Source organism: Homo sapiens, chromosome 14 (assembly GCF_000001405.40).
Source record: "Homo sapiens chromosome 14, GRCh38.p14 Primary Assembly".
Taxonomy (NCBI): Eukaryota; Metazoa; Chordata; class Mammalia; order Primates; family Hominidae; genus Homo; species Homo sapiens.
The window spans coordinates 20,479,057-20,492,595 of record NC_000014.9 but is presented as its reverse complement, the minus strand read 5'-3'; the positions used below and the strand labels follow the sequence as shown (position 1 = coordinate 20,492,595).

At 40.2% G+C, this 13,539-nt stretch overlaps 1 annotated feature.

Annotated features, from left to right (window-relative positions):
* Positions 826-925: an enhancer, noted in NCBI's record as "active region_8080". NCBI's record gives its function as "activates an Ori minimal core promoter by ATAC-STARR-seq in GM12878 lymphoblastoid cells {active_cell/tissue: GM12878}" and the evidence as "EXISTENCE:reporter gene assay evidence [ECO:0000049][PMID:35858748]".

The following is a 13,539-nucleotide window of genomic DNA, read 5'->3' as shown; positions in this document are numbered from 1 at the left end:
AAATGTTTCTGACTTGAAATTAAGAAGTGAGCTAGTGTGTTACTCCTGGACAATGATGGTTTAGTAGAAAGCAATTCTCAAAATTTAGAATTTCCCTTTCCAATTTCCAAACTCTCCTATCTCCTTCTTAAAATACATTAGCATGTTTGTTGATTTGTATTCTTTTATACTCCACCTCATTCCAAGATAGGATTAAAGTCAGCTTGCAAAACTGTCTGCAATAAATAATCACACAAATCAAATTTAGGTGAGAGAAAAGAGGCAGGATACAACTTGATTGATTATGCCATCACTGTATCGAGGCTAAAATCATTATGCTTCCTGAAGCCAGCATTTTGGTCCCCAGAGCTGAAGTGTGTGAGTCCTTAGCCCTAGGTGATAGATTAGAAGTTTGGATGGTTTAATTCTACAAATGGTGACTACTATTTACCAAATGCTGATTTGACCTGATGTAATTCTCAGGTGGTACTAATAATTTCAAGTGTTGAAGAAATTTTGCCATATAATATTTATACCTATGAATCACCACTTTATTTTCCCATTTGTACTAATAAAAATAAATAAATAAATGAAACTTACCAGAAAAGGTTTTTAGTAAGAATGAGATGACCACAATGGTTTGAATAGTTCAAACAAACTTAGTTTTAGTTAGCATGTTGTAGCTTTATTCGGAGTAAATGTGTGGTTTCCAGTAAGATGCCTGACATGTTAAAATTAGCTCACAGACTTTTTGACGCGTAGAAATAATCTTGAAAGGACAGCCAACAACCATAACGAGAAACAAAACAGAAACCACCTAAGTCAAGAAGGTAGACACAAATGCCCCTCAATTTGCAAATAGATATCTCCCCTGCACCAAGAATCACCCCATGGGAGGAGCAACTAAGTTAAAATTTCAGGATGAAAGGGTTTGCTTTCTCTTCATGAAACTGTGTCTAGTACTCTGGTCAGGTAATGATGATGATCAAGGTAATATTAGTGATCCAAGGAGCAGAGGCTTTTTCCATGCCAAGCCCATATACCCTGATAGGGCCACCAGGTGGACAAGCCAGTCCATCTGCACGATGCTCCTAAAGGGCGGGTCACAGAGCCAAAGAAAGGAATGACTCGCCAGAAGAAACTCTGCCTTTTCTGAACTTTTTTTTTTTTTTTTGAGACAGAGTCTCACTCTGTTGCCAGGATGGAGGGCAGTGGCGCGATCTCGGCTCACTGCAACCTCTGCCTCTTGGGTTCAAGCCATTCTTCCATTCTTCTGCCTCAACCTCCTTAGTAGCTGGGACTACAGGCATGTGCCACCATGCCCTGCTAATTTTTTTGTATTTTAGTGGAGACAGGGTTTCGCCATGTCAGCCAGGATGGTCTCGATCTCCTGACCTCATGATCCCCCCGCCTTGGCCGCCCAAAGCGCTGGGATTACAGACGTGAGCCACCATGCCTGGCCAGCACTATTTTGAGTTCACAGACTAAGTTCACTTGGGATGGCAGATACTGGCTGATATGGTTTGGTCGTGGTAGTGAATAAGTCTCACGAGATCTGATGGTTTTATCAGGGGTTTCCACTTTTGCATCTTCCTCATTCCCTCTTGCCTCCTCCAAGTAAGAAGTGCCTTTCACCCTCTGCCATGATTGTGAGACCTCCCCAGCCATGTGGAACTGTAAGTCAAATTAAACCACCTTTTCTTCCCAGTCTCTGATATGTCTTTATCAGCAACATGAAAACGGACTAATACACTGGCACAGAAGTTAGCACAGAAGAGTTGTCCGTTAAGGTTTGGTGAAAGAGACAGGAAAGGAGAGGAAAGGGAAGGAAGGAAATAGGGAAGAAGGGAGGGAGGGAGCCCTGAGCAATGCGTGGAGGTCAGCAGTTAAGATTAGCTCAGCAGGAAGGAAGCGTCCTGGGCTTCCGTGAGAGGTGACCTCTGACAGGCTTCCAGGTTCCTGTGCTCTTTGAGAGAGTCTTTCTTATCCCCTCACCCAGTATACAGGTACTTTGGCCTGGCCTGGCTGGCCAGATATGCAGTCGAGGTTTTACCTTCAAAGATGACAGCTAGAGAAATAAGAAAAGGGAAAGCATTCAGAATCCATTATAAGACGTACTGATAAGTAACACACATGCAGATCTTATGAATTAATGTGGATCTTCATAGGTAAGATCTTCATAATGGCAATGCTATTATGTAAGAGAATGTCCTTATTCTTAGAGATGCGTGCCAATATATTCAAAAATGGACTGATAGGCAAATTGTCTGCAGCAATTTACTTTCAAATGGCTCAGGAGAAAACAAATGTATGTAGCAGATTATTGACTATTGATGGTTTAGGTGAGAGGTACACTAGTGTTCATTACATGATCCTTTCTACTTTTCCGTAAACTTAACGATATTCCAAGTAAAAAGTTCAGGACAAATGGGCATTAGAAATTTTCTCTAAAATGTATAAAATCCATAGTAAGCACACCTAGCTGGTAACAGCGCTTGCTTATCTTGGCTGAGAGGATAAGGGGTTCTTCCTTGCTTTTTGGTGTGTGTGTGTGTGTGTGTGTGTATGTGTGTGTTTAAGGCCACAGCTAGGACCCTTCTTTCTGCCCCTCTGGCCTCTTTCACTGCACCAAACCACCTGCTCCTGGGCCCCAGCAAAGCAATCCCCCTATGAACAACATTTCTCAACAAGTGTTTCTGTGCCTGTTAGTAGCCCCACACGCTTCTTCCCCACAAACCCTTTCCTCATACACCATTGCCCACACAAAACACACCCCTTTCAAACTGCTGTTCTGGAACAAATGGCTTTCTTCTCTACTGAGTGCACCTCTGCCCAAGGCTTCCACCCACAAACGATTCTTTCTCTAAAGTTCCTGTGTAACCCTACCCCACCCATCCTCTCTGAATCATTGCCTCAATCCCCTGAGGTCTATCTTGCTGCAAATTGAATTCCTGCTGGTGTTGAGCCTGAAAATTTCTCAGTTTGCTAAGCTAAAGAGTTGCCCTTCCGTGATGGATGAAGCAGTGAATTGCTTCCACTTTTGTCTAGGATCGGGCACAGACCTTACTCTTTCTGCCCTAGCACCCCAGCTCCTCAGGTCCCACTTCAGTGGCATCAAGCAGAAGTGGACATGCATGGATAGATATATAATTATTGAAACATGAAAGCACAGTGTAACATCCCACCCTCCTTCTGTAGAACTAGAGTGTTGTGGAACTATAGTTGTTGCTATTCAGGTTTTTGCAGATAAAATATCTTGAAAAGAATTTTAGAGGTCATAAGGTCAACTATTTCTCTCTACAGCTTTGTCAAATATTCCTCTAGCCCCTATTTCAACATTTCAGGAATGTAACGTAACAATGTCTTTTTTGTAGAGCTCTTTTTCTAATATTGAGTGGGCTCTCCTGTCCTAGTCAACTCTCCAAAGTTGCACAGAGTAAATTTGATTCTTCTATATAAATAAGTTTAAAAATAATATAAGGCCAGGTACGTTGGCTCATGCCTGTAATCCCAATACTTTAGGAGGCCGAGGTGCTAGGATCACTTGAGGCCAGGAATTCGAGACCAGCCTGGGCAACATAGCAAGACTTTGTTTCTACAAAAAAAATTTTTTTTAATCAGCTGGGTGTGGTGATATGTGCCTGTAGTCCCAGCTACTCAGGAGTTTGAGGCAAGAGGATTGCTTGAGCCTTGGAGTTCAAGGATGCAGAGAGCTATGATCATACTAGTGCATTCCACAGAGCCTGGGTAACAGATCAAGATTCTATCTCTTAAAAAAATCATAATAATAATATTAATAGAAGACAGTTCTTCACTACCTCCTTTCATCTTCTGTTTACCACCAAACTTAACTACTCTCTGGCTTTTCATTCAACCTAAACGTGATGCCTTTTTACACATTCTCCATCCCCATCTCTTTATGTAGATCTAATGCTATGGTGACAAAAGTTCTGAGCCTGAAGGAATAGCTTAGCTATTCCTTTGCTGTGTGGTATTGGAAAAGTCAGATAACCTTTCTCTAAGCCTTTTTAAATCAGAAAAATGAAAATGAGAAAAATATCAATGATACTTGCTCAAGGGTCTCAGTAATTATCACAACTAAAAAGGACCAAAAAATGTAAAATATTTTGTAAACTATAAAGCACTATGTACATATTACCTGCTGTGAATATTCACATTAAAGGTCCAATCTCAGCATGAGTGTCTCCCTTCCTCCCAGCATAAATTAAGTCCTTCTATACTAGGTTTTTTTGGTAAAATTTAGCCACACACATTGGAATTCAGCATCAATGGCTTTTATGGAATGATAGTAAATTGCAGTGATTACTTTGAAAAAATAGTCTGTTCATAATGACAATGGTCCAGACTAATTTGTTTTATTGTTATTGTTTTGTCTTGTTTTTTAGAGAGGGATAGGGTCTCGCTTTATCACCCAAGCTGGAGAGCAGTGGCATGATCATTGCTCACTGTAACCTGGAGTTCCTGGGCTCAAGTGATCCTCCTGCCTCAGACTCCCAAGTAGCTGAGACTACAGGTGTGTGCCATCACAATCAGCTTGTAAATTTTTTTTTTTTTTTTTTTTTTTTTTTAGAAACAGGGTCTTGCTATGTTGCTCAGGTCGGTCTCAAACTCCTGGCCTCAAGTGATCCTCCCACCTCAGCCTCCCAAAGTGCTGGGATTACAGGCGTGAGCCACTGTGCCCGGCCCCCACCTGGCCTAGTTTGTTGTTTGTTTGTTTTTAATGCTTCGATATAACAGCTACATCTTCCTTCTGTACTAGCCATTCTTTTACACTCAATCAGCTTTACAGTTGCTCCCTCCCCTGCAGGGCTCATAGTCTGCCATGTTACCAGTTGTATTCCCAAGTCTGGAGCCTTTGGGGTCTCTAAGCAAGAATCTAGCACTGAGGCTCTGGGGAGGAAGGGCTGAACTTTCTTTAATATCTTTAAAGAGTTTGCTAAAAAGTCTTTACCCTGCAGGGATCACCTTGCAGAGTTTTTCTTTGTTGTTGTTATTATTGTTGTTGTTGTTTTTAATTTCCTAGCTCTGCTCTGCTGCCCTCTTATGGGCAGCTATCAAGTCAAAACCAAGCTTCTATCTTAGACCAATTTGCTTCCACTGGCAAGGCTCCCTATCACACAACACAGGTGTAACTGTACTATAAGCAAGCCATAGGGTATTATATCAATAATCAATAAAGGTGCCATTTAACTCTCAGACTATGGTACAGGCCATCTTCTCTTCTTCAGATCACACCCAAGTCCCAGTTGGCTTCTTTCCAGTTCAAAATGCCTCCCATCATTTAAAAAAAAAGGAAAAAACCTTCTCCTGAACCCACATCCTTTCCCCCAGCTACCACTTCCCTTTATAGCAAAATTTCATGGTTTGCACTTGCTGCCTCTATTTCCTCACCTCTCATTCTTTCTGGTGTCCGCTCTAATAAAGATATCATCTTTGTTACCCCGCTGAGACTGCTCGTCAAGGTGAGCAGTGACCTCGATCAGTCTCTTGTGTTAAAACGCTTTCTTCACTTGCCCTCCAAGGCATCCTACTTCTTGGTTTTCCTTCTACCTCATTAATGTCTCCTCAAACACATTTGCTAGATCCTTCTCCTTCTCCTGACTTCTGTCCCCAAGTGATATCGTCCAGATAATTTGGTTTAAACACCACCTATGTGCTAATGACTTCCAAATGTATTTATCTAGCTTAAACCTCTTCCCTTGGACTCCAAACTCATATACCCAACTGTGTAATCCACATGTCCATCTGGAGGTCTAGCTTTTCAAACGTGACAGCCTTAAAAGAAACTTTTGATTACCATGCCAAAACTGCTCCTCTGTTAGCGGTGTCTTGGTAGATGGCAACTCCATTCACCCAGCAGGTCAAGCTGAAAACTTAGGAACCTTTCTAAATTCCTATTTTTTACTCATATTTTATTTTCTATATATCTATAGAAATAAGGTAAGTCTTATTCTATATATATAGATATATAGAAATATATATTTTTTATATATAGATATATAGAAATATATATATAGATATATAGAAATATATATTTTTTTCTATATGTAGATATATAGAAATATATATATTTCTATATATATATCTCTCTCTATATATATATATTTCCTTATATCTATGTAAATATAGGTAAGTCCTATCTGCTCTACCTTCAAATATCTCCAGAATCCAACCTCTTCTTACTGAAGCAGCATCATTCATCTAAGGTAATACCTGAGGTTTGCTGCCTCATGCCAAGGAAATCAAGGATGTGGACACACAAGAAGTAAGGTTAAAAGCGGAGGTTTAATAGGCGAAAGAAAGAGAAGAGCTCTCTGTGCAGAGAGGGGTCCTGGGGAAAATGGATTGCCACTTCCACAGTGAAATGCAGGAAGTTTTATAGATAAGCTTGAGGAGGCGGTGTCTGATTTACACAGGGCTCGAAAGATTGGTTGGACCAGGTATGCCATTTGCATAGCACTCAAAGAAGCTGGCTGCCCCACCCTAATCTTTTATTATGCGGATGGGTTTTTTACTTGGCCATTGCCATATTGCCTGGTTCTTTACTGTGCACGTGGTGACTAAGAAAAGGGAAGATGGAGCCTCCATGTTGAACATGCCTGGCCCTCAGGCAGCCCTTTTCTGTTGGCACAGCGGCCGGCATTCACCTGTGCAAACTTCCAGCTTGCTTATCTCTGTCTGCAGCTCGATTTTTCAGGCCACTCTTTGTTAGAAAAGAAATGACTCGGGGGCTGCTTTTAGTTAAAAAGGGAAACCTTGCTAAGGACTCTTGCCCTCATCATCTACCTAATAATTTCTTCTAGTTCCTGTATCGTTAGCACCTCCATTACCACCACTGGTTCCAGCCTAAACCACCTTTTACCCTAATCTACCTCTGAGGTCTCCTAACCAATCACCCTATTTTTGCTTAATACTACTGATTTTCTACAAAGCAGCCAGTGAGGTTTTTTTTTTTTTTTTTTTAAAAAAAAGTAAATTGGTTAAAAATCATTTCAGTGACCTTCTTTCATGCTCAAAATAAAACCTAAACTTATCATGACCTACAACACCTGCCTTCATCTCCAGCCTTATCTACCATCACCATTCCCCTTGTTCAGTCTACTCTAATAGCACTGGCCTTCTGTTACTGCTAAATTGTTAAGTTCCCTAAGAACTTGTATGTTTGCTTGCACACTCATCTCTAATCACTGCATCATTCACGCCCTCATTTACTCAGGTCTCTGCTCAACTGACAGCTCCTTGGAGAGGCCTTCCCTGAACCAACCTATTTGAAATCACTCACCCTTTTATCACTTTTTTTTTAAAAAAAACTGCCTTGGCTGGGCGCAGTGGCTCACGCCTGTAATCCCAGCACTTTGGGAGGCCAAGGGGGTGTATCACCTAAGGTCGGGAGTTGAACACCAGCCTGACCAACACGGAGAAACCCTGTCTCTACTAAAACTACAAAATTAGCCAGGCATGGTGGTGCATGCTTGTAATCCCAGCTACTTGGGAGGCTGAGGCAGGAGAACCGCTCAAACCCAGGAGGCGGAGGTTGCGGTGAGCAGAGATAGCGCCATTGCACTCCGGCCTGGGCAACGAAAGCAAAATTCCATCTCAAAAAAAAACCAACCAACCAACCAAACAAACAAACAGAACAGCCTTAGTGAGCTGTATTTCACGTATCATAAAACTCACTCGTTTCAAGTGCAAAATTCAATGATTGTTATCATTTTATTTAGTGTTGCAACAATCACGTAGATCAGTTTTGGAACATTTTTATCCCTTAAATAAGATCTCTATGCCCATTATATTAATCCCCATCTCAACACTAAGCCCCAGAAAACCATTAATCTACTTTCTGTCTCTAGAAATTTTTCTGGATATTTCATATAAATAGAATCACATAATACAGATTTGTATCTGGATTATTTTATTTAGCATGTTTTTGAGGTTCACCCATGACATAGCATGTGTCAGTAGTTTGTTCTTTTTTATTAATGAATAGTATACCATTGTATAGATTTACATTTTTTCTTTCTCTCTTTTTTTTTTTAAGACAGGAGTCTCGTTCTATTGCCCAGGCTGGAGTGCAGTGGCATGATCTCAGCTCACTGCAGCCTCCATCTCCCTGGTTCAAGTGATTCTCATGCTTCGGCCCCAGAGTAGCTGGGATTACAGGTGCATGCCACCATGCCTGGCTAATTTTTTATTTTTAGTAGAGACAGGGTTTTGCTATGTTGGCCAGGCTGGTCTTGTACTCCTGGCCTCAAGTCATCCACCCGCCCCAGCCTCCCAAAGTGCTGGGATAACAGGCACAAGCCACCACACCCAGCCTAGATATACATTTTTTAAACAATCCATTTACCAGTTGATGGGCATTTGGGATGTTTCCAGTCCTTATTATTTTAAAAGTTGCTGTGGACATTTGTGTGTGTTTGTGTGGTTATGATCTTAATTCTCTTAGGTAAACAGCTACAAGTAGAAATGATGGGTCATATGGTAGTTTTGTGCTTTGCCTTCTGAGAAACTGACAAACTGTTTTCCAACTGGCTACACTATTTTACATTTCCACCAGAAAGTGGAAATTCCACAATTTAAAAAGATTCTTGTTTTTCTGCGTCCTTACCAACATTTGTTAATGTGTGTCTTATTTATTATAGTCATTTTAGTGAGTGTGAAGTGGTATCTCATTGTAGTTTTAATTTGCCTTTCCTTCCTCTATTACCTTCTATCCTCTTTATTTTTTTCTTAACACTTATTATTACCTTAGGTTTTTAAAAACATTTCTGTTTATTGGTTGTCGCACTCCCCTAATTTAATGTAAATACCATGAAGGCAGAAACATTGTCTTGTTCTTCTCCATATCCCTAACCCCTAGAACGTTTGTTGAGTAAGTAAATAAACATATCCTTCTCATGTGTTCATCTCTTCTTGTTCAGCAGCCTAGAAAGATACACTTGATAGGTGCCCTGTCTGGGATATTGAAAAGCTGAAAAGCTCAGCTTCTTCAAGTTTGCATGGGCAGATGACAGTTTATAAGTTGTCAATTTTGGATTTTGCATACATGTATATATGTACACATATGTTTGCAGATGTATATGCACACACACACACACACACACATCCTGGCATTTCTATATGAGGCTTAATACATCTGATTATCAAAAGGACAAAGTTCAAAGCAAATGCAGAAAAAAAAATGAATGAGCGTAAGCGCAATACAGAGTTGTCAAGTAAATGTTATGGTTATCTAGAAACTGAATGGCCATTACATTTACAAATGTCAATACTAGGTGCAGATTGATAGCAAGACCTGACACAATGTCACTTGAATAAATCAAACAAGGTTATTTATCCAAAGAGCACAGCATAAATTCAGCTCAGTCAAAAAAGTGAACACATTTTCCAATTCAGACAGAAGCATATCTTCACTCCAACATCTTCACTAAAAGTGTGTGCGTTATTACTGAAAACTCCTAAATGGGTGAGAAGACTCTGCAGAAATTTAGTCTCTCTTGGTCCAGCCTATCTGTGCTCATAAACAAGTGTGAATCTGCCTAGAGCCCCTCCTTGGGCAGAGGTATCTCATGTGTGTAAGGGTTATATAATGACAGCACTATTGCCCGGTCTTAGAGAACAGTTTGGTTCTCTAAGGCATCTCTCTCAGACAGTATATCCTGGTCTGAGAACATTCCTGAACTCGGTATTGTGGAACTGAAGCAGGGATCAGTTTCCTGGATCTTTGACAGACCAGCTAACAGCCATAGGGTGTATCCTGAAGTGAAGAGTCAGTAGATAAAAAATAGTTAAGAAGCTGCACAGCCATAAAGAATGGCAGAGTGACAGAAAATATCCAAAATTACTCTTACCATAATTCTGTCTTTTTTAATACTAGTAGTTTCTATTTGTGACGGGGAGAGGAAATTGGCAAAGTAAGCATCCAAGGAAATCTAATGTCCATCACCTGCCTAAAAAATTTCAGGCATGACTCAGTTTTGCTTTTCAGGGACTTTACTGACTCCGTAACATCTTATCTATGATGTCCAGAGTGAGAGCTTTCCCACTGCGAAAACAACCGTATGAAAAACAACTACTTATCCCTTACTGCAATTAAATAATTTTCATACTTTGATGACATTAGTGGAACAGTGACAATGGTGGTAGCTATGTATTATTATTTTGGGGGAGACGACACAAGCAGGTAATAATAAAGATTAATACTGTGAACTGGAATTGATCTTAAACAACCTCTGATTGGTAAAAGAACAGTTGATAGAACTAGATCAGGTCAGGCTACACAAGAGAAGTACTATATTCTACTAACTTTTTATTATAAATTACAACAGGAGCTCAGATAGAAACAGTTCAAAATAAAGAGGAAAAGGGAAAACCAAGGCCAAAGTCAAGTAGCTAACAAGTGAAATGGTGTTTTAAAAAGAGTAACAGCAAAAAGAAGAAGAGAACAAGAAAAAAAAAAAGATTGGCAAGTGAGACAAAGTAAAAGCTTTCTACAATGAACAAACAAACTCAGAATGGACGTGAAAGTAAAAGCCCGATGGAGGGGTAGGGGTTCTTTGACCCGAAAACAACAGAGCAAATTCAGATTAATCCAAAAGAATATCACATCTAATTTAAGCCAAAACTAAAAATTAGACAAAATGATTAAAGACAGGAAAATTTTATTTTTATTAAAATCCAAATTTACAGTAACAGAAAAACCAAGCAGATAACCAGTGTTTGTTCGAAGGCATCCCTGAGAAACAAAACATTATTATGAAAATCAGGGGCCTATTTACAAGAAAAAAAAGGCAACACAAATCTAAGCCAAATTGAATTAGGCAGAAGGCACAGCACAGAATGAATAGCTCTCTTCTTCCCAACTTCTTGCTTTAAAGGAGCAGCAGGTGGCATTACCTCTTTGTGTCTATTCCTATTAGTAATCAACAAACGAACTGAGAAGTGGCAAAAAAAATTAAGACCATATTCTCCCTTTGCTTCTAAAAAACTGGAGGTGACAGACATATATCCTTGGCAGCATTGATGTAAGTCATCAAGAAGGCACACTAATTCATTGATGTGAAAAGATCTCCAAGATATGTTAAAATAAAATAGCAAGATACAGAAAGTATATATAACATACTAACTGCTGTTTATAATAAGAGAAGAAAAATAGAATTTGTATTTGTTTATATTTGTATAGATCCTGGAAGAATGCAAAAGAAACTAATAACAGTGGTCACCAGTGGGTGGGGAAGGAAGGGCATATGAGGACAGGATAGGGGTGAGAGTTCTCACTATACACATTTTATGTTGCTTAATTTTTGAACTATGTGATTATATACCTATTCACAATTTTATATTAAAAAGAAGGGGAAACTATTGACTTAAGTGTATATTTTCATCTCTAAGTTGTTTGCACTTTTGCCTCTACATTCTATTTTATAACAGCTTATTCCTTTTGTGTGTGTGTGTGTGTGTGTGTGTGTGTGACAGAGTCTTGCTCTGTCACCTAGGCTGGAGTGCAGTGGTATGATCATGGGTCACTACAGCCTCGATCTCCCAGGCTTGAGCCAGCCTCCCACCTCAGCCTCCCGAATAGCTGGGACTACAGGTGTGCACCACCATGCCCAGCTAATTTTTAAATTTTTTGTAGAAACAAGGTCTCACTATGTTGCCTAGGCTGGTCTCAAACTCCTGAACTCAAGCAGTCCTCCTGTCTTGGCCTCCCAAAGTGCCGGGATTACAGGCATGAGCCACTGTGCCCGGCTAATTTATTCTTTAAAACACTACAGAAGACCCCAACCTGACTAAAAATTAAATACTTAACACCAACCATTGTGCTATTCTGTACAGTTAATTTTGGGTGAAAGTAATTCTACTATCAAAACAAGCCTCTCTTTTAGTCAGGCTTCTAGCCACCAAAATACTACAGTGCAATTTTTATCTACCAGTCCTTCGTTTAAAAACTGTCAATGGCTGGCCATCTTGCCTAGAAAATAAGGTCTTACTCTTTCATTTTGTTTTGCTTTTGAGAGACAGGGTCTCACTCTGTTGCTCAGGCTGGAGCGCAGTGGCTCCATCATGGCTCACTGAAGGCTCAGCCTCCCCGACTCAAGCAATCCTCCCACCTCAGCCTCCCAAGTAGCTGGGACCACAGGCAACCACCATCATGCTCAGATAATTTTTGTAATTTTTGTAGAGACGAGGTTTCCCCATATTGCCCAGGCTGGTCTCGAACTTGGTCTTGAACTCCTGGGCTCAAGTGATCCGCCCACCTTGGCCTCCCAAAGTGCTGGGATATAGGCGTGAGCCACCGCACCTGGCCCTAAGGTCCTACTCTTGAGCCTGGAATCAGAGCTCCTCTCCAGCTTGCTGCCCATCTTCCCATTTATTTCTTCACTTTAAGCATTTCAGTTTGTTCAATGATTAAACATTCCTGGATTCATCTGTATGTAATGGCTTCTGCCATGTCCTCTTCACCTATCTTTTTTTTTTTTCAAAGATGGAGTCTTACTCTCTCACTTAGGCTAGAGTGCAGTTCCGCAATCATAAAGCCCACTGCAGCTTCAAACTCCTGCGTTCAAGTGAATCTCCCACCTAGTATGTGTGATTATAGGCATGAGCCACTGTGCCTGGCATTTCTGTAAGGCCTAAATAATGTCTCATCAATCCTTTCCTACTCCCCAGCTCCGGTGATGGTCCTCTTCTCTCAATTCCTGTAGCACATACCATCATTGACACTTAGCATACGCTACTTTTCACACATTACTGTACTCCTTTTGTAAAAAATTAGGCCCTCTTCCTCAGTTCAGTCGAAAAAGCTGATTCTAAACAATGACAATATAACATATGAAGAGATTAGTAAAAGTCTTTAGCAGCTATAAAGGGCTCAAATAACTCAGCCTAGTTATTTCTTTTTATGCATACATCTTGTCTCACATCTAGACTGTAGACACTTCATCTTATACCAACTTACATTTTGGTTTTTAGGACAATGTTCTCTACATAATACATGATTAATGAATATTTATTGATGCTAATAAAGATGGTCATGATAGGGTCAAGAAAGCAAGCCTGACTTCAATGTGTTTGGACACCTACCATGAGACTCAGTAAAATCAATCTATTTTGCAGGCATTCTGCAGGCCCCTCCAGAAATGAATGGTATCATCGCCAGTTTTTTTCAAGAATGTCTTTTCTCTGGAAAGCCCTCCCACACCTACTTCCCTTCACTTTGTGCTCGTATCCTACAATCCTAAACTGATACGTTCGGTTTTGGCTGGACTGGTTGGCTTTTTAAAATCAGACACTCGATCAACAAAATGTGGTGTATCCATGCAATAGAATATTATTTGGCCTCAAAAAAGAATTAAGTACTGATACATGCTACAACTTGGATGCATCTTGAAAACATTATGCTAAGTGAAAGAAGCCAGCCACAAAAGTCCAATTCCATTTGTGTGAAAGTCCAACATAGTTAAATCTATAGGCACAGAAGGTAGATAAATGGCTGTTTGGGGCTATGGGGGAGCAGATAACGTTTCCCTTTGAAGTGAT